The sequence below is a fragment of the Homo sapiens genome, chromosome 1 (genome assembly GCF_000001405.40).
Source record: "Homo sapiens chromosome 1, GRCh38.p14 Primary Assembly".
Classification (NCBI taxonomy): Eukaryota; Metazoa; Chordata; class Mammalia; order Primates; family Hominidae; genus Homo; species Homo sapiens.
This window is the reverse complement of record NC_000001.11, coordinates 219,910,193-219,937,413: the sequence shown is the minus strand read 5'-3', so window position 1 is coordinate 219,937,413 and position 27,221 is coordinate 219,910,193. Positions and strand designations below refer to the sequence as shown.

Below are 27,221 nucleotides of genomic sequence, written 5' to 3'. Positions count from 1 at the left end.
TGAAAGAAATTCGAAGATATAATAGAAGATTTTTTTTCTGAACTAAATGATGATAAAAATTTGCATACCAAAAGGGAAAATTGATATGGAATAATTCATACATACATTCTGGAGAAGTTGCTAAATATCAAAAATAAAGAAAGAATCCCACAGGCATCTAGGCAGAAAAAGCCTGAGGACAAATATCAGGCTGTACTCAGATTTTTCCACAGCGACATGCAATGTCAAGATACAATGATGAGATGTCTATACAGTTCTCAGAAATAAAATAAAACACGAACTTATGAATTTCATACCCATCTAATCTAAGTTTTGCTCATTTATGAATGGCAACATAATGACATTAACAAATATATATATGTAGATAACCCAAGAGCTCTTCTTTTTTTAAAAAAAGACTAGATGAAATCCAGTCAACCAAAATGTGAATCAAGATGAGCTCAGAAATTGGAAAGCCATGGTATGAAAAGACTGTTGGTGAGCATCAAATCAATTTGAATATAGAACTGTGGCTAAGCCACTTTCAGAATTACAGGTACACAATAGAATGTAAGTGTTTTGGAAACTGTCAATGAAATATAAGGAAAACCAGGAGGGTGCAGCATTCAAAAGTCAAATTAGGAGCGTAATTGAAGAAGGAAAGCAAAGATTCTCTACCACTGCCTCTCAGCTCTTTCTGCTTCCTCTCCTATTGCAGTTTGAAGGGTATTGGAAAGAAGCAGGGGAAGACAGGATTACCAGGGGCTCCAAGTCACATCCTCATGTTTAATGACCAGACAAGAAATGAAACCTCTCTCCCAGGTTCATTTGAAAAATTCCGAAAGAAGAACTCTGGCCCATCTTGGGTCAAGTGCCCATCTCTTGAACCAAGCATTGTGATCAGGGCATGAGGGACTGTGATTGGTGTACGTGCCTACCTCTGTATCCAAGGGGACAAAGGGAACAGGATATCTTACCACAGGAAAGCAGGGAGGGGTTCAGGGAGGGGTCCAGGCAATCTGAAGCTTAAGCTGACCCATTTAAATACTGGTGGCCACAAATACAGTGCTTGCTTTCTAGAACTCATGTTGGTTGTGGGTCCATGGCTTCATAATTACAGCAATAATGCCTTTTATTTTTCTATATATTTGTACCTTCATTATCTTATTTGATATTCAAATCAACTAGATACACTAAGTAGTATGAGGCTATTCTTTGCATTTTACAGATTAGGAAACTAAGGCTCAGAAATTCTGTAACTGGTCCAAGTTGTACAATAACTTCATGTCAGAGGTCAAGAATCTTAGTTCTCTTCCAGACTTCATTTCAATATTCAAAACAGCCTCTCATTTTGTGATAGTAATAGTGTCTCCCAGTCCAGATACCTTGATTCTCTCTACTTTTCTGCCACATGACTAGCAGGTAGGTCATGATGGCAAAAGAAGGATGTCAATGATAAAACTAGGGGGTTTGGGTTTAGATTTACAAAAGATTTTATTTTAAATATTTTTATATTTGTAACATAGTATTAATCAATGTTTTATATTCATATAATATTTTATTAGTCAATAGCTAATTTGTTTTAAGATAATTAGCTAAGTAGATTATTTGGATTAAGGGGACATACATGATTTTATAAAAAGTAGGATACTCTAGATAACTATGAAGGAGATTCCACAACTGGAAGTCAACAATAGTTTTGGGTATGACAACAGCCAGAAATCAATGGAAGGAGCCAATGTTTGTTGATTATCCACTAAAGGAACTATGCAAGACCCTTTACATAAGCTTTTTCATTTGATTCTCATAACTACTGTCTGAGAGAGTGATACCTCTATATCTAGCTTAGAAATGAAAACATAGAGGCTCAGAAGTTGAGTGACTTGCTCACTTGCGAAGAGCTGACAGAAGCAAGATTGGATTTTAGATGTGCATGGCTCCAAAGCCTATGTTGTCCCACTACATATTCAACCAGTGCACTTGGCAAATAAAGTTAAGGACATTTATTAATATCTTTGGTTTTGACCCTCTCTCCCCTTCACACAAAATTATTTCCACAATTTCTTGGGCAAAAGGCTTTTTTCATGTTCATATAGTCTAAAAATTAAGGCGAAATCTAGCAGTGAAGAAGGTTGCCATCTGTGTTGGATTGTTTCTGATGGCACCAAAGAACACATAGGAAACCTTGTTGTAACTTACAAAATAACACAATTTAACTTACAGTTAAAACAATTAGGTCTAGAATCAACATCAAGGGGTTTTTCTCTATTTCTTGCAACTTGTAGTTCTTTTTGCTTCCATTTGAATTGGAAATAGTCTAAAAGCTGATTTTTCCCCCTCACTGTTCACCCATCAGGAGGATTCAGACCCCAAATGATATCAGTAAATGATGATGAACTCTGAATGAAAAGTGTTTCTTAAACTGCCAGTTCTGCCTTTAACCCTTTCCCCTGTTCTTCCTAGTAGCCATAACCCCTTTCATTTTCGTGTTTTCACTTACCCTTGTCCCCTTGACAAACCCCAAGCACAGGGTTTCTCTATGAGTGCGTCTCTGGGGTTGTCCTTGTGACCTGGAGATGGTAAGAAACACAGAGAGCAGTGCTATAGTGTCAATAATGACAAGATGACCCCAGATACCACAGTTGGCCTCTTTGCTCTCAAATGAATCTAATAGCCCAAGGAAGTATTTCTCCTTTATCAGCAGCCCATTCAAAGTGGTGTTAGCCATTACCCAGCTTTTATCATTCCATATCTCATGGAAAAATAATAGCGTTCACCTCAAGTCAAGAATCTCTTAAATTTAATGCATTCTGAAATACTTCGAGAAAAAAAGGCATCATCCTGGTGTTATATAAAAATTGATGTCATCTTTTTACATCCATGCGATCAACAGATGGTAACTTTGGTTCCTATATTTTGTATATGTGGAACTATTGTCTTTCAAACTATGCTTTTCTTCTTTTTTTTTTTTGAGATGGAGTCTCACTTTTGTTACCCAGGCTGGAGTGCAATGACATGATCTCAGCTCACTGCAACCTCCGCCTCCCAGGTTCAAGCAATTTTCTTGCCTCAGCCTCCTGAGTAGCTGGGATTACAGGCACCCACCACCATGCCCGGCTAATTTTTTTGGTATTTTTTTGTGTGTGTGAGACGGAGTTTTGCTCTGTTGCCCAGGCTAGAGTGCAGTGGCACGATCTCGGCTCACTGCCAGCTCCGCCTCCTGGGTTCACGCCATTCTCCTGCCTCAGCCTCCCGAGTAGCTGGCACTACAGGTGCCCACCACCACGCCTGGCTAAATTTTTGTATTTTTAGTACAGACGAGGTTTCACCGTGTTAGCCAGAATGGTCTCGATCTCCTGACCTCATGATCCACCCGCCTCGGCCTTCCAATGTGCTGGGATTACAGATGTGAGCCACCACACCCGGCCTTTATTTGGCAGTTTTAGTAGAGATGGCATTTCACCAAGTTGGCCAGGCTGGTCTTGAACTCCTGACCTCAGGTGATCCGCCCACCTCGGCCCCACAAAGTGCTGGGATTACAGGCGTTGAGTCACTGCGCCTGGCCTATACTTCTCTTCTAATTGCAGAAACTTAAACATGTTTTATCTTATGTCTTCATAAACTTCACTGCTCCCCAGATGGATCTGTAAACAAATTCTTAAATGTGTATTTTCTCTAAAAGTAATCCTTAGCGAATCCTTTGGTGAAGGAAAATATTCTGCTGTCTCTCTAAACTTGGATTTAAAACTCCAGGTGATGGTTATTTTTTGTTAATATTCACTGAGCCTTTCTTATGAACCTGGCACTATCCCAAGCAATTTATATACCTTTTCCCACTTAAGTCTCATGACAACCTCATGAAGTAGATACTATTATTATCCCTATTTCACAGGTGAGGAAAGAGAAGGTTTAGTAAGGAACGTGTCCCCCAGGTCACAAGAGCAGTTGCAAGTGAGAAGCACAGCCCAGATTTAGTTCCAAATCGGTCCGACTCCAAAGCTCAAATTATTAACTGCAGCGCTACTCTGCCTTTTAAATTTTCTCAAAGTGAGTGCAAAATTAAAATTATTTAGAGTCTGGTATTTTCTCAGTAAGTAGGTGGTATCACGTGATGCTATGCTCGTGCTCCTAACACTTCCTGGGCCAGGGCTATTAGGAGACATACTCTTTCGTTGCAAGAACAAGTGGCATTTTGAAGAAACCATGGAGGTGGCGTTTGGGTGAGGACACTGCAGGCTGATGGGCACAGCTTTACATTCATATTAGAGCTGCTTCGTTCTAGGTGGGCTGCAAATCACAACTCCCTTATAAATATAGCCCACTCAAATTAGTATTGACCACTATCTCATTTTTCTTTCTTCTTTTTTTTTTTTTAGACGGAGTTTTGCTCTTGTTGCCCAGGCTGGAGTACAATGGCAGGATCTCGGCTCACTGCAACCTCTGCCTCCCAGGTGCAAGCGATTCTCCTGCCTCAGCCTCCCGAGTAGCTGGGATTACAGGCGTGCGCCACCACGCCCGGTTAATTTTGTATTTTTAGTAGAGACAGGGTTTCTCCATGTTGGTCAGGCTGATCTCAAACTCCTGGCCTAAGGTGATGCGCCCACCTCAGCCTCCCAAAGTGCTGGGATTACAGGCGTGAGCCACCTCGCCTGGCCTCACTACCTCATTTTTAATCTTTTGCACATCTCATGCCTCCATCACTAAAAAAAAAAAAAAAAAAAAAAAAAAAGAATGGTTACTCAAGTCAAGAATCTCTTAAGTTTAATGGATTCTAAAAAAACTTGGAGGCCCAATATGCATACTTTTGGGGTACAAAAATTACCTTTGTACAAAAGGTTACAGACGTACACATTATATAAATTCACCAATGAGGAGCTGACTTCATCCACAATAAGAATTTGGTGCTTTGGAAAGATGTCCATTCTCTTCTCCAAAGGCAATGTCATCTCTTGTCAAGTAGAACTAAAAACAAAAACAGATGCTTTTACAGTTTCTAAAAAAAAACTAATTGTTAATTTCTGGTCAAATACCAGTATAAAAATAATTTTTAGTGTCATAATCTCTGAATTTGTGAATTGTAGCATATCAAGTTTTGCACCAATACTAACAGAACTTTTAAAAACCATTTCATTTGTTTAGAACAAAAGAAGCATTAAAGGCCAGGAGCAGTGGCTCACGCCCCATCTCCACTAAAAATACAAAAATTAGCTGGGCGTGGTGGCAGGTGCCTATAATCCCAGCTACTTAGGAGGCTGAGTCTGGAGAACTGCTTGAACCTGGGAGGTGGAGTGTGCAATGAGCTGAGATCACGCTATTGCACTCCAGCCTGGGTGACAAGAGTGAGACTCCGTCTCAAAAAAAAAAAAAAAAAGATGATTGAGTTAGTATAATCTGGAAGCAAAGGGTGTAAGCTCTAGAGTTTGATGCCTAGTTCAGAGCTCAAATCTATCAATCATTTACAGCTTGTGTGGTCTTGGGTAAGTTACTTAAAATCTCAGGTTCTATCCTATAAAATAGTACTTATTTTATGGGGCTGTGATGAGGAAGAAATGAGATGATGCTTATAAAACTCTCAGCACAGGGTTGGGCAGAGTAAGAGATCAATAAACAAAAGCTATTTAAACCTCACAATTTGCTGTTAAGTATAAAATGCTGGCCAGGTGTGGTGGCTCACGCCTATAATACCAGCACTTTAGGAGGTCAAGGCGGGCAGATCATTTGAGGCCAGGAGTTCGAGACCAGCTTGGCCAACGTGGTGAAACCCTATCTCTACTAAAAGTACAAAAATTAGCAGGGTGTGGTGGTGCACACTTGTAGTCCCAGCTACTCGGGAGGCTGAGGCAGGAGAATCAGTTGAACCCAGAGGGCAGAGGTTGTGGTGAGCTGAGATTGGGCCACTGCATTTCAGCCTGGGTAACAGAGTAGACTCTGTCTTAAAAAAAATAAAAATAAAATGCAGCCTGTATTTTTATCAATTAACTTTATATATACTGTGTGTGTGTGTGTAGTTTTAGTACAAACATTTTTCTACAGTGCTTTTTATTGACACCATCTGGCAACACTTACCCTTTCTTAAAGTCAGGAATGGGTCCCCCAGGCAGGCTGCCTCTGCCACTTCCAGCTCCTCCAGCTTCCTCAGCCACTGGCTTTATGGTTCCATCCACTGCACTCCTGGGGCAGTGACACAATTCTTATCTGCCTTTGGTTAGGAAAATAATTGGGCAATTTGCTCCAGTGATACATTTCTGCTGATTTCAGGTTTTCTTTCAGTGGTGAATGACAAAGACATGCAATTAGCAAGGAATGCTTTAGTTTGTCAAGTTTAGTTCCACCAGGCTTCCCTCACTTATTTTGACTGTTTTGCTTGCTGTCATATTAAATGTTTCAGAAGCTTTACAGTTTGAAGACAGTCTAAGCCAGAAACAGCAATGGCTACAGTACTCTGATAAATCTCTTTTGTCTATTAGAGTGTCTCATCTGTTGTTCAATAGTAATTCCATCACACATGTGCTGTAGTATTAATACTATTGACAACAATAATAGAACATTTATTGAGTGCTTACTGTGTACCAGGCACTATTTTAAGCATTTTACACATATTAACTCATTTAATCTTCCCTATACTATTATTATTCCCATTTTACACTAGTGAAAAATACCGTAGTCTATATCTTCTTACCTCTACATTATTGATTATTTTTATGTTGATTTTTAGAAAATACTTCCAATGATCAATTTTCTCTAATTCTCAATATAAGGATATTTTCCTGGAGGTGCAAATATTTAATAAGCTCTGAGTTTGGAGGCTTATCTGGTGTAAGGTGGGACTTGGATCAAGGATGCTTTAGCATGGCTGTTATGGACCTCAGAAATACTGAAAGACAAGGTTATGTTTTACAAGGCTAAGGACAATGAATAGGGCTAGAGGTTAGGATGTTCTGTGGTTGGGGGGAGGTGGGGTTGAGACAGGGCCTTGCTATGTCACCCAGGCTGGAGTGCAGTGGCACCACCACGACTCACTGCAGTCTCGACTTCTTGGGTTCAAGCCTTCCTCCCACTTTAGCCTCCTGAATAGCTGGGACCATAGGCACACACGCCTGGCTAATTTTTTTTATTTTTATTTTTTGTAGAGATGGGGTTTCCCTATATTGCCCAGGCTGATCTTGAACTCCTGGGTTCAAGTGATCCTCCCACCTCGGTCTTCCAAAATGTTGAAATTACAGGTGTAAGCCACCACGCCTGACCTGTGTTTTTTTTTTGTTTGTTTGTTTTTTGTTGTTTTTGGAATAAGACATTTGTATTCATTTCTAAGCCAAAACTACATGTGTATTCTTCAGGAATGGTTAAAGTTCAGGGGCTAGGGATGGGGAAGGAGAATAGAGATGACCAGACTGCACCTTCAAATCCTCTATGGGATGAGATAATGAGACAACAAAAGAAACCAACAAAGAAACCTAGGAGCCAGGCCTCTCAAACCTCCACAGCAGGAAGAGACCAGCAGCAGACACCCTTCTTCAAGGGTCCCTTCCTCAGCCTCTTCCAGAGTCCTGGAGACAGTTACCTTCTGGATAACTTTTATTTGGAACACAGCCTGTTGTCAATAGAAGAGTCTTGGCCAGGTGCAGTGGCTCACGCCTGTAATCCCAGCACTTTGGGAGGCTGAGGTGGGCAGATCACTTGAGGTCAGGAGTTCGAGACCAGCCTGGCCAACATGGTGAAACCCTGTCTCTACTAGAAATACAAAAAATAAAAAATTAGCCGGGCATGGTGCCTGTAATCCCAGCTACTCTGGAGGCTGAGGCAGGAGAATCGCTTGAATCCGAGAGGCGGAGGTTGCAGTGAGCCGAGATGGCGCCATTGCACTCCAGCCTGGGCAACAACAACGAAACTCTGTCTCAAAAAAAAAAAAGAGTCTTTATTTGGAATAAACCTTCATGTAGGTCAGTCGATTGTACTGCGTATCAGGTCATGCTGTCAGGGACACGTGGGGGTGAGTAGAATATTCTCTTCAATGAAGAATGAGACAAGTACACAGAGGAGGTCAGCCCTGGTTTCTTTGGCGGCCAAGGGACTTGTGTCTACCACAAAGTAGACCAGCCTTCGAGTGCTAGGCAGGAGTGCATGCTTACAGAAGTGGGGTCTGCTCTCCTGAGGGCTGCCTGCGATTCACCCAGGGAAGGAAGCCTTGACAGCGAAGATCCTGAAGGGGAACGGGGACGATCTTGTGCCATGAGTGGGTAATAGGAACGATCCTGCACCGTTTATAATGGCTGTGAGGAACAAGAGAGGATTAAATAGCTTTATCCTGGGGTTAGTGGAATGAGGGTGGAGGGCTGAGTGGCGGATGAGGTCACATTTCACGAAATGAAAAGCAGGAAGCACCCTCAAGGGCAAGTTGCCCCAAGCCTGTGCTCCGGGGCCTTGCACCTGATTAATATGGAATCTGCACCGCAAGGTGCCTATGGGCACGTACGCGAAGGTGTCCCAGTCCACCGCAGCGAACACACCCCACAGCAGCCAAGGCCCTTATGACTGAGTCAACAGGACACTGGCGACCCTGAGGGCCAGGAGAAGCGGGGTGTCTGGGTGAATCCCACCTCTGCATGGGGAGGGAGTCTGTGAAGATTGACGTCCAGACACGCCCCCTCTCCTCCGCAGCGCCCCTCTCTGCACAGTCCTGTCCCACAAAGAGAGACATCGGCTCGTGGCCACCTGCCAAGTCAGGCCCAGGCCGCGAGGGAGGGGAAAAGGGCCGCGGGAGGCGGTGCACGGGCTGTTCAGATACTGCCCCCGCCACTCCTTTAGACTCTGGACGTGCGGGGACTGGTGGCGCTCGGCCTCGCGTTATAAAAAGCGGTGGGGCAGGGCCGGCGAGACAATCTGGGAGGCGGGTACCGGGCCTCACGGATCCGCGCCGCGCCCCCCACCTGTGGCTGCGCGCGGGGTGGGCTGCGCTCCCCTGGGCGGCGCCGGGCGCCCGGGGCTGGTGGCGAGATGGGCCGCTACTCTGGCAAGACGTGCCGGCTGCTCTTCATGCTGGTGCTCACCGTCGCCTTCTTCGTGGCGGAGCTGGTCTCCGGCTACCTGGGCAACTCCATCGCGCTGCTCTCCGACTCCTTCAACATGCTCTCCGACCTGATCTCGCTGTGCGTGGGCCTGAGCGCCGGCTACATCGCCCGGCGCCCCACCCGGGGCTTCAGCGCCACCTACGGCTACGCCCGCGCCGAGGTGGTGGGCGCGCTGAGCAACGCGGTCTTCCTCACCGCGCTCTGCTTCACCATCTTCGTGGAGGCCGTGCTGCGCCTGGCCCGGCCCGAGCGCATCGATGACCCCGAGCTGGTGCTCATCGTCGGCGTCCTGGGGCTGTTGGTCAACGTGGTGGGGCTGCTCATCTTCCAGGACTGCGCCGCCTGGTTCGCGTGCTGCCTCCGGGGACGCAGTCGCCGCCTGCAGCAGCGGCAGCAGCTGGCGGAGGGCTGTGTCCCCGGCGCTTTCGGGGGGCCTCAGGGCGCGGAGGACCCGCGGCGCGCGGCGGACCCGACAGCCCCAGGCTCGGACTCGGCCGTAACCCTCCGGGGGACCTCGGTGGAAAGGAAGCGGGAGAAGGGGGCGACCGTGTTCGCAAACGTAGCAGGTGCCTTTCGGTTGCATCCTTTGGACCGCTTGGCCCTTCCTTCCTCCTCCCACCCGGTCCCTTTCTTCTCACCCCACGCCCTCTTTTTCTTCTGCATGCTTTTTTTCTGTTTTTTTTTTTTTGTTGTTGTTGTTTTTTTTTTTTTTTTTTTTTTTTTTTTTTAATAAATCCATTCCCTTTACAATCCCGCTTTACTTCTCTTCTGCCAATTTAACATATTCCCCATCCCTTCTTTTTTCTCCTGGATCCTCGGGTAGCCCTGGCCTCTTTTCCCTTACCCTATTCTCTGTATATGAGTATTGATTTTCTTGGAAATCGGTCACTATTATTGGGCAACAGGCAGGACTCTCCAACCCCTCCTCCCTCTCATTACTTGCTGTCTGAATTTTGTTGTTCTCCCCCCCTCTTTGCCCATCCGTTTGTCTTCTTGGGTGTTACGGGTTTAGGGGCTGCAGGTGGGCTCCCATTCACCCTCTTTTTGTTTTAACTTGAAAGGATGTGTGAATGAAGTCCAAAGGTGGATCACAAGGCTATTTCAAGGCCAAAATGTACTGTTCTGAGCTGTGGGTGTGCAGAAGGGTCTCCCTTAAGCTAGTAGAAATTTAAAATAACAAAACTTTATTTTGAGTCCATTGGTTTTTTTTTGTTTGTTTGTAGAACTTATACACAACACAAGGTTTCTTCTTTGAATGCAGGTGATTCCTTCAACACCCAGAATGAGCCAGAAGACATGATGAAAAAAGAGAAAAAGTCTGAAGCTCTGAATATCAGAGGTAGGATTGACTTTGGGCCTATTTGAAATCCCTTTCTATGACACACATGGACTGTGTTGTTTATTTCTGTTTGACTTTTAATAAGGCAAAGGTGTGTTTGAAAGTAGGCCAGTTACATGCATAGACTATGACCCAACTCTCTTTCGTAATCACTGCATTGATCCTGAGGGAGAAACTGGTTGCTAATGATTTATCTTAGCTCCACTGAGACCCATGCTAATACTGCCTGCTCCAGAGCTGCACATATTAATATTGTGTTACTACTTTACTTGGTTTTACTGGTCCGTGGATATTGCTAATAAATCATGCAACCCATTTTAATTGAATTGATTTTGATAAAGGTAGGAAAAGAGTAGGTGAGCTGCTATCCAAGGTTATGCCCTATCTCGCATTGCTGAGTGACCCTATTGCATCAGCTATTTCTGCCAGAAATCTGCTTTTGTGAAGGGACCGTTGGCTCACTAAAACCTCCACTCCCAGGACCAAAGGGAGTGTTCTGGTGAGGCCCAAGGCAAGCACCTAGCTAGCCTCTCACCATGTGGTCAAGGTCGGAAGCACTGGACTAAGGTCAGCCCAGGGCTTTTTGAGATGTGTTTCTCGCTGGACACCATTGTAGCCAACATCTCTCCCTTCCAACTTCTTGGGCATAGACTTTGCTTCAGAGTGATCCCAGAAGGGGTTAATCCCCAATTTTGACTTTGAGAATTCCAACAAGGATTAAGCAACCCTCTACTTTCCTGTGGTTTGGGGAAAGCCTGTAAGTGGGGCTTTGATGGAAATAATACAATGAAAAATTAATAATTCAGGAGATACCTTCACTTTGAGTGTCTCACATCTGTTTTACAAAGGAATTCTCAGAGTGAACCTATAGGGAAAATCCAGAAGATAACAACAATAACATATGATCTCCTAAAAATTTCTAAATTAATCAAACAAATTTAAAGGCAACAGGGGAATTTGCTCTCTGAAAGAGCTTAGTAGTGAGCTTTTAAAAGAGAATCTGTAATGAAAAAAAAATCATCCTTTATCTCTCTTTTTTAAGGTCCAGTTTAAAAATATATACATTGGGGTGGGCGCGGTGGCTCACGCCTGTAATCCCAGCACTTTGGGAGGCTGAGGTGGGCAGATCACCTGAGGTCGGGAGTTTGAGACCAGCCTGGCCAACATGGTGAAACCCCACCCCATCTCTAGTAAAAATACAAAAACTAGCCAGGCATGGTGGTGGGTGCCTGTAATCCCAGCTACTCGGGAGGCTGAGGCAGGAGAATTGCTTGAACCCCAGAGGTGGAGGTTGCAGTGAGCCGAGATTGTACCACTGCACTCCAGCCTGGGAGACTGAGCTAGATTCTGTCTCAAAAAAAAAAAAAAAAAAAAAATATATATATATATATATATGTACACACACACACATAAATTTTAAGGTGGAGTTCACCATCAGAGGCTTTAACTTTTCAAAGCCTGTTCTGTTAAGTATCCTCATTTTTTTTCTTCTTTGAGATGGAGTCCTGCTCTGTCTCCCAGGCTGGAGTGCAGTGGCGCCATCTCTGCTCACTGCAACCTCTGCCTACCAGGTTCAAGTGATCCTTGTGCCTCAGCCTCCCAAGTAGCTGGGATTACAGGTGCGCACCACCACGCCTGGCTGATTTTTGTATTTTTAGCAGAAACGGGGTTTCACCATGTTGGCCAGGCTGGTCTCGAACTCCTGACCTCAGGCAATCTGCCCGCCTCGGCTGCCCAAAGTGCTGGAATTACAGGTGTGAGCCACTGCACCCGGCCAACTATCCTCATTCTTATGTTACAAAGTTGAGAAAGAGAATAGGTAGGTGGATTGATGCAAAGAAGAAGAAGAGTAGGCCCTCATAGTTATAGTGATCTTGTTTGGGAAACTTGTATGAACTTGCCAAATTTTAGTCCTAAGCTATTGAAGTTTCTTGGTAGAAAAATGTCAGTAGTAGAATGCCTTGCTATACCTGGCTGGGCCTTTGGTTTACAGGGACTGACACCAGTGCACCTTTAGCTTCTGATAGAGGTGAATAGTGCGGTGGCTGAAAGGTTGGGATTTGGCTTCAAACTGCCTGAGTGTGAATCATGGCTCTGCCACTTAAGAACCATGTGACTTTGGGCAAGTTATTGAACCTCTCTAAGCCTCCAATCCCCTCATCTTTAAAATGAGGATAATAACAGTACCCACCTTATGGGATTGCTTTGAAATAAATGAAACATATAAAGTGTTTAGGCTTATAGTAGGAAAACTAGCTAACATTTTTATTGAGTATGTACTTTGTCCCTGGTACCATTCATGAATGAGTGAACTGGTAGTCACATTAATCTTACTGAGTGGATACAATTATCGTTTAATTAGTGGGTGGAATTGCTGGGCTCAATCCATAGTGCTTCCGTGTTAGCTGAGATCATTCCTGCTGCTTTTGATGAGTACCTGTACTGTGGCTAATAGGAGCCTTTACATATTCCCGGCTAAGTGTGAGGCTGGCCTCCCCTTTGGTGCTGTGTTCTTATCTTGGAGCCACAGTTCAGGGAAGGATCACAGAATGTTAGAACTAGAAGGACCTTAGGGAAATTGGACTTCAACCTTTCACTTCACAGATGAGGAAGCAGGGTGTGGAGAGTTTGACGACTTCCCCAAGTCACCCCAGCTCATAGCAGAGACAAGGCTGGAATCCTGGGCTCCTACATCACATTTCTGGCCCTTTCCATGATCACACATTGCCTCTAGACTCCAGACAGGGCTTGCTTCTCTAGTACACAGTCCACTGAATGGTTATATTTCTAACATTTAAGCAACTGCTTTAGAAAGCAGGACTGTGTCCCACTCTCCAGATCTGCAGAGGTAACAGCTTACGGGGATCTCTGTGAACAAAAACAATTTCTTCACTTTCTTTACTGTTTCTCTTATTCCAATGGGAATTTAAAAAATGAGTTTTTGTTTGTTTGTTTGTTTTGTTTTTTGAGATGAAGTCTCACTCTGTAGCCCAGGCTGGAGTGCAGTGTCGTGGTATTGACTCACCACAAACTGCCTCCCAGGCTCAAGCGATTCTCCTGCCTCAGCCTACAGAGTAGCTGGGATTACAGGCGCGCGCCACTGCACCCGGCTAATTTTTTTTGTATTTTTAGTACAGACGGGGTTTTGCCATGTTGGCCAGGCTGGTCTTGAACTCCCAACCTCAGGTAATCCGCTGGCCTCGGCCTCCCAAAGTGCTAGGATTATAGGCGTGAGCCACCGTGCCTGGCAAACAAATGAGTTCTAAGGAACACACTCTGTCTTCTACTGTAAAGTATGGTAAAAACACAATCCTCTTAAAATGCTCATCAATGTGCTTTGTAGTGGTCAATTTTATTTAATAGGATCAAACATGATGTATTAAAAATGTTGTAACAATATGTCAGAAAGACAATTAGCTTTTTAAAGTTTGGTGTAAATAGATGAATAGCCATCTTGACATCCCTTGAAAAGAAATCCCCTTTGATGAGATGTTTCTTTGTAATTCCAATAAGAAAGATCTCAGTTTTTCATTACCATTTGCCCAGTGCAAATGCACTATTTCCAGTCATTCAACAAATTCAACAGCACTGATGGCTTTCCTAAGTGCTGGGACACATCAGATTTCAACTTGTGTCAAATTGCCAATTTATGTTATATGCCCGTTTTTTGGGGGTTTCGTTTTAATCTAAAGGCAGCAAGTGAGGGCCAAGTACAGAGGTTTGCTGTCTTTGCAAAGCTACCTTGAGAGCATTGTAACTTAGCAGGTGATTGAGTTGTCTACTAAGTGGTGCTCTTTATGTCTCAGATAATGCTGCCAGATTTATCTTTCTGAATCATAGATGTGATCACATCGGAGTCTGCTCAAAGCCTTGGCCGCATACAGGGTATGGTCTAAACACTGCTGACATTCAGAGCTTGCTGTTCCGGTGCCAATACTCCTTTCTAGACATTTCTGCCCTTCTCTTCACCCCTTCATGGCCTCACCTCCCCCATCAGCTCTTCACTGTCTCCCGGCATACCCATCAACATTTAATGTACATCTGTAGTGAGGTGAGAAGCACTTACACCCTGTGATCAGGCAGATCTGGTTTGAGTTCTGCCTCTCCCTTTTCCTAGCTAGGTGACCTTGGGCAAGGAACTTCATCTCTTTAATGTTCAGTCCCGTCATCTATATAATGGAGATAATAGGACCAACATCACTGTGTTGTGCGGATCACATGGGTGGTTAGAATAGCACAGAGGACCCACTCAACAAATGGTGCCTGTTATCATTATCATCACCTCTTGGTCATTCTCAGAGGGTTTTCAGACATTTTTTTACATACTCTACAGAACTAGCCTCTGAGGGAGGTGAGGCAGATATTATTACTACCCCATTTCACAGATGAGAATCTTGCTCCTCAAAGAGGTTGACTCTCATAAGGTCTTTGGCTCATAGCAACAGCGTCAGGGTCTGTGAGTCCAAATTTAGCACGTCAGCCTCCAGCGTTGCCCCACGAGCACGTCCTCCATCTTCAGTTTCCCACGAGTCTCCCGTGAGGTGTTTCTGTCTGAAATGCCTTCTCCTGTGGTTGCCTGTTGAAGTCTGTCTCCTCTCCAGAGTCCTGCCCAAATTACCTACCTCTCAACAAGACTTTCCTGAGATGTCTCATCACAGGAGACTCTTTTCCTCCCTGAGGAGATTATCGATGTATTTATCTCAGAATCTTCCATTTTGAGAGGCTGAGGCAAGAGGATTACTTGAGGCCAGGAGTTTGAGACCAGCCCGGGTAACATAGCAAACCCCTGTCTCTGCAAAAAAAAAAAAAAAAAAAAAAAAAAAAAAAAAAAAAAAAAAAAAAAAAAAAAAACACACACACACACACACAAACAAGAAGGTAAAAAAATTCTTTTAAAAAGTAAAAAAATTAACCAGTGCAGTGGCACACATCTGTAGTCCTAGATACTTGGGAGGCTGAGATGGAAGGATCATTTGAGCCCAAGAGTTCGAAGTTGGAGTGAGCTATGATTGTGCCACTGTACTCCAGCCTGGGTGACAGAGGGAGACCCCATTTTTTCTCTCTCTCTGTCTCTCTCTCTCGGTCTCTCTCTCTCTCTCTCTCTCTGTCTCTCTCTCTCTTTCACACACACACACACACACACACACACACACACTCAGAGACACCCCACAGAATTTTGCCAGTGCACTGTAGTTAATGGTCATGACCAGGCCTTCTTCATCTTTGCATGGGCAGCCAGAAGATACATTGCATTATTAAATGTCAGGAATTGAGTGGGATACTGCTTTAAACAGTTTTTCAAACTGAAGGCTGCGACAATTTGGGCCCTAGAATTAGTTTAGTAGAAAATTAATTATAATTGAATGAAATAGAATAGATAATATTAAGAAGTCATATATAAGGATGAGTTTTGCTTTCCCATGAATTATTTGTTGCAATTTGTATCTCTGTGCTAGGATGCAAAACATAATTCTTACTGTGGATTATGGGAAAAACAAGTTCAAAAGTTACTATTTTATGTAATTCTTAGGGGGTAATAGTGGGATTTCTCAGAAGGAAAAGCTGAAATTGAATTTTAGAACTTACATGAGGCAGGATGCACAGTAGATCTCTGGTCAGACCACCCAGATTGATATCCCCAGTTAACACTTTTTAGTTGTGTGATTTTGGACAAGTTACTTATGTATTCTGTGCCTCAGTTTCCTCATTTGTAAAATGAAGAGAGTACCAGCCATAAATAATCAAAAGGGTCAGATTCCAGTTTTCCAGAGTTTATTCAAGTGAAAAGTTGGCAATGGCCATTCCGGGACTCATCACTCCAGAGAAATGGGGATAGGGTTCCAAAGTTAAAAGCTAAATTCTTGCTTATATATAAGACAAAGAAATTTAGCAGGGTTACAACATTTTGTATACAAGCCTGGTTTAGTAGTTAAAAAAATTAGTTACAATTTGTTTTCTTTTCCACGCGGCTTGTTTTCTTTATAGCTGGTTTTCATTTCCTTTCCAACTTAAAAGAGTGTATTTAACATTCCATATTAAGGGACTGTGATAGCCATGATGTCTTGTATGAAAAAGGTAAGAGGGAGAATGAAAATCAACAGGAAGAGAGAAGGGGGTCTTCCCTGGGGCCCTTTGCCATTTACAACATTTTACAGAGCAATGCAGGTAAGGAAAAAGACTGAATTCAGACATACAACAGCTTACAGCTGCCTGTCACGTAGCTCAGGCCCTGTAATTCACATTCCTTGAAGGCTCAAAATACTTTTGAGTTCCAACAGCTTAGATTTTGCATTACTTATTTTTACAAGGGTAACCACCTTACAGTCCTTAAAAGGACTTAATGGGTAAGTATAATACGCTTAAATCAATACCTGGAGCATATGTGTTAGTTAGCATAATAATAATAATAGTTATTATTATTAAAGACAAGAGTTACTGTATGTCATAGGAGTTATGACAATCAACCAGAAGCTACTGTTTTATTGAATGCCTACATTGCTATTATATAAACAAAGGCAATTTGGAGTATGGCCCTGATCCTCATGTTACTTACGGAGGAAATGGACCTAACATGTATGAGACAATCAGAGAATAACAGACTGTCTCACGCAGTAAACATGACATCACATGTGTATAGGAGATATTAGGCTTTCATATTTTTATGGTAGCATTTTGTACTGTCCTGAAGCAAGTTAAAGCTTCGATTCTTAGCTCCTTGTAGAGGAACAAAGTATTTTTGAGTTTCCCTTCAGTGGTTCAGGACAGGGACTGGGGAGTTAAAAGCTCCTTTGGGGGTGGGGTGTTGGGAGAAAGGAGCACAGCATTAGAAAATGAGAATGTTAATGTATATATTGAATCAAGATCTTATTATCATAAGTAAACACTCATCCAAAAGGAAATATGGGAATTCTTTTTATTCCTGTATTTTTTTGGGGAAAATTTGAGGCAACTGCCTCAAATTACATTTAGTGTTCACATGCCATTTTACCTATGATGTTATTTAGAATTGTGGAGTTGTTGCCAAGAGGAGGAATTAGCTCAATTAAAGCACCTTCCAAATGAGACTGTTTAGTCTTAGCCATGAGTAAGTTGTTAGTAATTTGGATTATTATTAATTCTACTGCATAAGTCTGTGGAATACATGGAGAGACAAAGCAGACCTTTCTTAATATATATGCTTTCTTCTAGAGCAGTGCTTTGGAAACTTGTATGTGCATTCCAATCATCTGGGCATTTTTTTTTTTTTTTTTTGAGACAGAGTTTCACTCTTGTTGCCCAGGCTGGAGTACAATGGCACTATCTCGGCTCACTGCAACCTCTGCCTCCTGGGTTCAAGCGATTCTCCTGCCTCAGCCTTCTGAGTAGCTGGGATTACAGATGCCCCCACAATGTCCAGCTAATTTTTTGTATTTTTAGTAGAGATAGGGTTTCACCATATTGGCCAGGCTGGTCTTGAACTCCTGACTTCAGATGATCTACCTGCCTTGGCCTCCCAAAGTGCTGGGATTACAGGAGTGAGCCACCACGCCCAGACTCACCTGGGCATCTTTTTAAAACGCAGGTTCAGATTCTACAGATCTGAGGTGGGTCCTGAGATGCATCATTTCTAACAACCTCCTAGGTGATGCTGATGCTGCTGGTTTGCAAACTATACTTTGAATTGCAAGATTCAGATGTTGCTTTTTGTAAAAAACAAACAAAATCCCCCAAAACCAAAACCCAAAACTTTGTGTTTATATTTTATAATTTTTCTGACCAAATTTTTACCTAATTTACTTACTGAATCCCAATTTAGTCTTTGGCTAACAATTGGGCACTCAAATCTTTGCTGAGGAATGCATGTGTTCTATATCATAATCAATATCTTTAGAAACAATTCCCTTAATTAAAGGCACCCACAATTTTTAGTATTATCTGTAGAATTTTAATTTTATTTTATTGTGATAAATGGCTCTTTATGCAATGGAAATGTTGCCAGAGTCCCTGTTCTTGGACACCTCTTAAACCAAATGCCATTTAAATGACCACAGACTAAATACAAAGTAGGTAAATGCTTACAGGGAAAGGGGAAAGTGGATCAAGGTAGAAAAAAGACAATTTGTTTTAAACACTCTTAATACAACTTGTTCTCTCTCCCCTTAAACATGTTTAAAACAACGTAAAGCACAGATGATTGTCTGAAAGAAAAAGAAATCATTTGCACAGCCCCTGTTTTCCAGCTTGGTGCCCTTTGATGGGTGGTGAGTGGTAGCGATGTGGCCCAGTGAGACGGCACAGTCGCTCTTCCTGCAGGTCAGAATCTTCCTAGGCTGTTGCTCTTCCAAGGTACTCTGAGTCCTGCGATGGTGGCCTGGGGTTTTGTTTCCTAAGAAGTAGTTGCCATTATTTTGATTCATCCTACTGTTCTAACCAAAACAAAAACCAAAAAACTCCAAATGGTAACAGATATTCATATACCCGGACACCCAAGTCAGTGAGTGTCACGTGGCTTCCAGATTTGCATCTGTGCTGCAGTAGTCTTTCTTCCTGGCAGGTGTACTTTTGCATGTGATGGGAGATGCCCTGGGGTCCGTGGTTGTGGTCATCACGGCCATCATATTCTATGTGCTTCCCCTGAAGAGTGAGGACCCGTGTAACTGGCAGTGTTACATTGACCCCAGCCTGACTGTCCTCATGGTCATCATCATTTTGTCATCTGCCTTCCCGCTTATCAAGGAGACCGCTGCCATTCTGCTACAGATGGTCCCAAAAGGAGTCAACATGGAAGAGCTGAGTAAGTAGACTGAATTTTGATCCAGAACCACTCTCAATTTAATGTTATTCAGGCCAAAGGACAAGCATTATTTAAGAGCAGTGTTTGAGTTATGTATTCTGAAACACCTTAAATCACCAGGTGGTAGAGATGTCATCATATGTTTTATAGCCTATTAAGATGACTCAGCTCCAAGTACCAAAGGTCCTTTGCAATCCGTGATTCTCTGACTCAACTGCAAATTTTTAAGAATGCAATACTTGGTCTGGGCATGGTGGCTCACGCCTGTAATCCTGGCACTCTGGGAGGCAGAGGTGGGTGAGTCACCTGAGGTCAGAAGTTCAAGACCAGACTGACCAACATGGTGAAACCCTGTCTCTACTAAAAATACAAAAAAATTAGCCAGGCGTGGTAGCACGCGCCTGTAATCCCAACTACTCGGGAGGCTGAGGCAGGAGAATCGCTTGAACCCGGGAGGCGGAGGTTGCAGGGAGCTGAGATTGCACCACTGCACTCCAGGCTGGGTGACAGAGTGAGACTCTGACTCAAAAAAAAAAAAAAAAAAAAGGAAAGAAAAAAAAGAAAAGAATGCAATGCTTGGATAATACCTATTCCTGGGCTACTTACTTTCATGTCAAAGATTTATTTTAATTCAAATAAGGCCATTTCTGCCAAGAACTTTATTTTATTCTCCTTATTCTAAAAACACAAATCATTCATATTCTAGACCCTGCTTTCTAGTTAATGCGGGCATGCAAGTCACTGTGTCTCTCACAACACTGCCCAGAGCTGCAGGCAGAGCAGGTGGTGGGAGAGGGAAGGAGACAGAAGAGCAGACATACAGCATTGCCTTTGCCTTCCCAGGAGCTAGATCATTTCCCAATTGAGGAAATAAGATAAACATATACAAAGAAATTTGTGATATATACTGGATATGTTTTTAGTAAAGTAATATATTTAAAAACAGATATTTTTAAAAATAGAGGGCTACTTTTTGTGACTCATTCCTGTAATCTCACCACTTTGGGAGGCTGAAGTGGAAGGATTGCATAAGGCCAGGAGTTCAAGACCAGCCTGGGCAACATAGTGAGGCCTCATTTTTAGAAAAATAAAAAAATTATTTTTTATAAATAAATAAAAAAGTAAAGGTTGTAGTGTGTGCCTGTGGTCCCAGCTACTCAGTAGGCTGAGGTGGGAGGATCACTGGAGCCCTGGAGTTTGAGGCTGTAGAGAGCCATAAATATGCCACTGCACTCCAGCCTGGGAGACAGGGCAAGACTCTGTCTCTAAAAAAAAAAAAAAAAAAACCCCACAAGATAGTAATAACAATAGCAATATTTTCATAGCGTTTACTACATGCTAGAAATGTAAGTGTTCCAAGTGCTTTACTTATAATAATTCATTTTAATCCTTAAAATAATACAAAAAGGTACTATTATCATTTCTATTATACAGATAAGGAAACTGAGGCACAGAGAGGTTAGGTAATTGCCTAACGTCATGCAGTTAGTAAATGTCTAAACTAGGATTCAAACTAGCTGACTGCAAAGCCTTTGCTCAAATCAGCACTGAATACCATCTCTCTAAATACATACTCATTTTGGAAAGTATAGAAAATACAGAGGAGCCTAAATGAGATAATAGAAATCTTTCATAATTTGACCATGGAAACTACCACTGTTAATATTTTCTTCTATATGCGGTGTAAAAAGAAAGATCATACCATACACACAGTTTAGCAATTTGCTTTTTCACTTAAAAATACCTTATGTACATTTTCTCATATCCTTAAATATGCAACTTACTTTTAAACAACTATATCCTATTCCATTACATCATTGATTTAACTATTTCCTTGTTGGTTCCATCTTTTTAATGAACACAAGGAGCATTGTCCAAACCATTCTTGTACATACATATTTGGTTATTTCTTTTAGGTTAAACTTTTAGTACTAGAATTGCTAGGAAAGGTTTTTTTTGATCCATGTTGCCAAATCATCCCTTTTAAGAAAAGGCATTGCACTTTATCCTACTATGGGAAGTTCATTCAAGTGTCCATTCCCTTGTATACTCAGCAACCCTGGGGACTTTTTTCTTGTCGTTGTTAGACTTACTTTCTTAAATGACTTTGTGTGGACTAACAATGTGTGGAGAAAGAAGGTTAAGGGCAAATGTACCCACAGAGGTAGAACTAATTTCTTCCAGCTGTTCGTAGTAAGTAGGCAGCCATTTTGGTGAGAATGCTTAACGGAACCATATCCCTCCTGTAGTTCCATGTTTCAAATGCAGCGCTCACCTTGGCTTTTGTTTGCTCTTCTCTGTTATAGTGAGTAAACTCTCTGCTGTGCCTGGAATTAGCAGTGTACATGAAGTGCACATCTGGGAACTTGTAAGTGGAAAGATTATTGCCACCCTGCACATCAAGTATCCTAAGGACAGGGGATATCAAGATGCCAGCACAAAAATTCGAGAAATCTTCCACCATGCGGGAATCCACAATGTGACCATCCAGTTTGAAAATGTGGACTTGAAGGAACCCCTGGAGCAGAAGGACTTACTGTTGCTCTGCAACTCACCCTGCATCTCCAAGGGCTGTGCTAAGCAGCTGTGTTGTCCCCCCGGGGCACTGCCTCTGGCTCACGTCAATGGCTGTGCTGAGCACAATGGTGGGCCCTCTCTAGACACATACGGAAGTGATGGCCTCAGTAGAAGAGACGCAAGAGAAGTGGCTATTGAAGTGTCTTTGGATAGCTGTCTGAGTGACCACGGACAAAGTCTTAACAAAACTCAGGAGGACCAATGTTATGTCAACAGAACGCATTTTTAATCTGGTACTCACATAATCAGACCATATAGACGAGGCACTTTGGAACCACAAGCTTGGCTCACAAAAAGAGCTTTCTGGGTTGTAGGCCCAGACTAGACTTGCAGCATGCATGCTCTGTGTTCACTAGGGGTTGGCTGTTTGGGATTTTAGTTAAACGTGTCTGTGAATTTTTATGTAACTAACTCCTTTCCATTCCCCTGGGTGTCTCATGCTGCTCTTTGACTGTTTCAGCTTGAACATGCATTTTCTAAAGCAAACTGCACTAGTGTATATATCAGGGACATTAAAGTCTGGGACTGGGGCTCAATAGCTGCGGATACAGTGTTCAAAGAAGTTCTTGTTTCTAAACTGATTAGAACTTCTAGCTAATGCTCAGGTGAGATCATAGCTTAAATACATTGAAAAAACTAAAGTACCACAATAGCTGTATTTTTCCCAATCCCCTTAACGATCATAAAAGAGGCAAGTTAAGTATTTCTGGCACTGAAGAAATATCTTTTTTCTTTGATTCATTTTTGAATAAATATAAAATGAATAACTATTAAGGTAGAAAATATTCTCAGAACATTCTAGAGGAGGTAAAGGTTAGTAGGAGGGCGTTGGCCATCTCTACATTTTGTGAGGTGAGAGAAAACTAATGTTTACTTTCTGCTGTGAACTGAACTGCAGCTATAGAATGTTTCAAATGCTTAAATATATAATACATTTTTTTCCATGGAAGTGAGGGAATATTTCAGTTTCCTGAAGTATGACACAAATACTCATATACTGTCTTTTAGAGTCAGTATAGTTGGAGCTGTTTTCATTTAGTGCTTTGATAATGATTTACTTATTTTTCCAAATTTCGTTTGAATTTTCTTTCATATGATTGCATTGATCTATGCAGCATTTACCAGAAAAGAGTATTCCTGGGATAGCAGAATGCATAACACTGAGTGTTAATTCTTGTGAAATAAATAAGCTAGACTGCCTTCTCTTTAATTAGACATATTTTAAAGTATTTATTATAGTTGTCAACTAGTAACTCAATGAAAAAGTTGATGCCCAAGGGAGAAATGAGAATTAGCTTAATTGCTGCCTTTAATGTGTTTTTGAGGAACTTAAAATTTTCTTTCATGTCGCTGATCCATATTACCAAGTTCAAATAAAATTTTTATAATCGGATTCAGACCCATAACCAAACTATGTTGGTAGTAGAGAAGCATCTGTCATGTTTTTAACACATTGCTCAGACATCAGTATTTAAATCAGAACAGTCTCACAGGTATGAGAAAATGGGAAGTGCCTCACTAGACAACTAGTATCATCTCTGGTAGACTGCAAGATTGTCTGAAAATAACCATCTCTTAGTGTGTAAAGTCCTGTTCAGAATCTGCACAGGGTTTTTCAGAGGTGCTGGGTTGATAATGAAGGCAGCATCCACAGAACAAACATCATATTTAAACAATGTATCTTAGTCCTAAATTTGAAGGCTAAAATAAATAAGCAGCTATGATCCGTAGGATAGGAAATTATTATTTTTTTCTTTTTTTGTAGAGACAGGGTCTCGCTATGTTGCCCAGCTGGCCTTGAACTCCTAGCCTCAAGTGATTCTCTCGCCTTGGCCTCCCAAAGCACTGGGAGAACAGTCATGAGCCACTGCACCTGGCCAGGAAATTCTTTATTCCTTGAAAATGTATTATCTGAGTTTAAATTGGCTGTGAAGTAGGTAAATAGAAAAATGCCTAAAAATGTTTTTATTTCTAGGAGCTTATTGGGCTAGGTTATATGCCCTTTATAAGCTCAAAGGGGTTAATAAGTAAGAATTTCTATTTTTAGTATTAAAAGTGTGGCATGTACTCACACAAAACAGTGCATCCTCTTAAGAAACTTGGCATGGAGATCAGTGGGCCAGATTCTCCTACATAAACATTGGTTGAAATTCCTTAGAGCCAAAAAAGAAATTTTTCTCTGACTTCCAAATTTGAAGGTCTAATTTGATTTCACATCATTCTGCCTTTATTAAAAGGGAAAATTATAATTTCACAGTTTTTGTGCAACTGGCTGAAGGAATGGATATTAGTTTGCACTTAAACACTGTTCTTTAATCTCTAAAATATTTTTCTGGGTAAGAAAAGGCACTTAATTCCACTGTAATTAAACCTAACTTCAGAAAAGTATCTTGATAGACAGTTATACCAGATTATGGCCTGGAGTCAATATGAAGTAATACCTTTTTAAGACAGTTTGGCTGACTGCATTTAATAATGTCCAATCATGCTAAGTGCAATAATTTTGTATTGGGTTGAGTGGCTTGCATTTGCCACCTGTGGCACTGTGATGCCTGCTGTATGCTATTTTCACTTGGGTTTCACTCTCTCTTTAATTGTCCTGCCTTTTAATTCTCCCAAGGAAATACAAGAGTTTTCTTTTTCCCTTTAAATCAGCCCTGCTTGGTGGCAGTAGCAGCTGATAAATAGATTTAAAACAGCACTGTTTTCCTTTAAGATTAGAAAAACACTGGCACTCAGTTTGGTGCTCCTGTATACTTAGGTTATTTACAGAAAATCCCCTCCTCCCCGCCTTTTTTTAAAGAACTGACATAATTTTTTTTTGGTTTGTTTGTTTGTTTCTTTGAGACGGAGTCTTGCTCTGTCGCCCAGGCTGGAGTGCAGTGGTGCTATCTCGGCTCACTGCAAGCTCTGCCTCCTGGGTTCACGCCATTCTCCTGCCTCAGCCTCCCGAGTAGCTGGGATTACAGGTGCTCGCCACCATGCCCGGCTAATTTTTTGTATTTTTAGTAGAGACCGGGTTTCACCATGTTAGCCAGGATGGTCTCGATCTCCTGACCTTGTGATCCACCCACCTCGGCCTCCCAAAGTGCTGGGATTACAGGCGTAAGCCACTGCGCCCGGCCAGAACTGACATAATTTTTAAAGTCTACGGCATATTTTGTGTGTCAGCTCAGGGACCAGTTGTCCTGTGTGCTCACCTGGCCTTCTACACGGCCCTACTGCACTTCTGTTTCTACAGAAACAGTCCTTTCCACATTATTTTAGCATTGGCCATAGGAAATACTGTCTGTTTCATTTTCTGACTCTCAACATTGTTTTTGAAAATATAATTAATTTTTTTCATGATATTGGGCCATTATGAATACCCACAGGCTCCATTGTTGACAGAAAATAAAATTACTCTCTTCTTGATAAAATGTCAATAAAGTAGGGAGACATTATTTGAGGAAGAATTAAGAATATTCTCCATATTTAGTTCTTTTTTTTTTTTTTTTTTTTTTTTTTGCCATTGGTAGAGCAAATTCCAGTGGTGGTAAATCAAGAACTCTAAAGTTCAGTAGAGACAGGTGTTTTGAATGTCAAGGAAATCACTGAGGTAGATTTGGGATTACAATAAGACAGCTGCCCTGTGAGGTCATAAGAGCTTTTGTGAGGCTTACTCCAGGGGTTCTCAGTCTTGGCATTACTGACATTTTGAATTGGATGTGTTCTTGCTCCTGATGTGTGGGTTGTGTACTGTAGGATGTTTAGCTGCACCCCTGACCGCTATGCATAAATGCCGGTACTGTCCCCCGAAGTTGTGACAACCAATGTCTCCAGACATTGCCACATATAACCTGGGAAAAAAAATTGCCCCAAGTTCTGAGCCACTGGGTAGAACTAAGGGTAGTTTAGGGACAATGTTAATGAAAGCCTCTCCAAAGTCCCATAGTCTTTTTAATAATTAATTCTGCAGAATTTGCTCTTTAAAAACATATTTTTAAAGGCAAGACCAGCCTATTCATAAAAATTGCAGTTGTTTCCACATAAGAACTTTGGATATTTAAAGAAAAATGTAATTTGAAATGAAAAGCCCTTATAAATCCCTTTATACTCATCAGTCATTATAACAGTAAATGAAATGAAGAAAAAGCATTTGGTCTCACTCTTCTGTGCTGATCTCTTTAACTCCTGAATATCCTCAATTTGATGAGCCCACTATCCAATGAGACTGGATAGTTATCAGCACAATTGATTCATGGGGTTGAGATGTTTAAATCTCCTTCATATTTAAAATGATCGATTTTAAACTTGATGATGTTAATTCTTCTTAGTTCCTGGTAAGCAGCTCATCTTAGTGCTAATGACAAGTTCAGATGTTAAAAAAATCTTTATCATTTATGGCTAATTTTATCCTTTGCCAAATCATATCTATTTTCTTCAAGAGAGCAAAATACATTTCCTGATTTTAAAGTATTCTATTTTTAAATATATCTTCACATTCCTGTAGTAAAAGACTGCAAAAAAAAAAAAAAAAAAAAAAAAACTGATGTAGAAAAAATGAAGAAACATGACCTGATTTGAATTTTGAGTTTGGATGAATGATCGCGGACTGCATGCCTGCTCTATAGAAGTCATGCACCTGATAAAGTGTCACGTATTTGTGCTTCTTAGTTTATTTACCCTTGAGTAGCCACAGGTAGAAATGAGGTTGTCAAACCAGGAATTTAGTTTCTCAAGTGGAAATTGCATTGAAAGATAATCCTCAATGTAATCTGCATGTTCTTACCCATCTGGAGTTTAGATAATGCAGACGAGTCATTTTCTGGTGCTTCTCTTTTCATGTGTTTTATTTCGTACCTTTTTGTTTACATGGAACTTTCTTGAATGTTTGCTAGATGATCAACTGTCACCTCTTAGTACAAAGCCATGCCAGACACTGCACCTACTCTGCACTCTAATGAGAACAATCCGGAAAGGATGATTTTCAAGGGAGAGTGACCTCTTCCTGGAGATCTGAGGTTATGTTACAGTATTGTGGAGTTTTGTTGCTTAAAATTCTCCTCCTGTCCTCACAGGCAATTTTGCTAGAGTTGCAATCCTCACATTTGAGAGAACTGTCAAAACTCTAAGACATAAAGTTTAAATAACTCATTAATAATTGCATGTGAATCCCCCAGTAATGTATGTACATGAGCATACCTTTCAAAGATGTTCAATGGTGCTGTAAATAAAATTTTTTTAAAAAATAGAAACATGACTGAGATATGTCTGTGGCAATTAAACAGATAACTGAAAGTAGCAGAACTCATTTTGTCTTTGTCACTTACCCTGGTAAGTTTATTATTCAGTAACTCCTTGGATTGGTTTTAATAATTTGGGCCTATTTCTGTTTTTCTGTTTTGCTAGTCTCCTTCACACCCCTTCTTCTGTCACCCAGGCTGGAGTGCAGTGGCACCATCTGGGCTCACTGCCACCTCCGCCTCCCAGATTCAAGCGATTC

The 27,221-nt window shown here is 41.7% G+C and overlaps 1 protein-coding gene and 1 long non-coding RNA gene across 5 annotated transcripts in view, besides 1 other annotated feature; one reads left to right on the top strand and one right to left on the bottom strand.

Moving 5' to 3' along the window:
* Positions 1-26,969, top strand: part of SLC30A10 (solute carrier family 30 member 10) — a 48,654-nt gene extending 21,685 nt beyond the window's left edge. Inside the window, exons 1-4 of one of the 4 annotated variants that reach the window (NM_018713.3) lie at positions 8,857-9,613; positions 10,309-10,386; positions 18,920-19,159; positions 21,466-26,969. In NM_018713.3, the coding sequence (NP_061183.2) occupies positions 8,974-9,613; positions 10,309-10,386; positions 18,920-19,159; positions 21,466-21,965 (1,458 nt within the window). In that variant the 5' untranslated portion in view covers positions 8,857-8,973 and the 3' untranslated portion in view covers positions 21,966-26,969. Of the gene's footprint in view, positions 1-8,856; positions 9,614-9,776; positions 10,387-18,919; positions 19,160-21,465 lie in introns of those variants that run through there. The other 3 variants (NM_001416005.1, NM_001376929.1, NM_001416004.1) reach the window with 3 other exon arrangements.
* On the bottom strand, positions 2,322-8,629 carry LOC107985281 (uncharacterized). The gene is made up of 3 exons (XR_001738476.3): positions 8,109-8,629; positions 6,046-6,178; positions 2,322-2,549 (listed from the first exon to the last, which is right to left on the bottom strand). It is a non-coding gene; the product is annotated as an uncharacterized LOC107985281 (long non-coding RNA).
* Positions 8,533-8,827: an enhancer, noted in NCBI's record as "tiled region #9893; K562 Activating DNase unmatched - State 1:Tss". NCBI's record gives its function as "activates a minimal TATA promoter and a strong SV40 promoter by Sharpr-MPRA in K562 cells {active_cell/tissue: K562}" and the evidence as "EXISTENCE:reporter gene assay evidence [ECO:0000049][PMID:27701403]".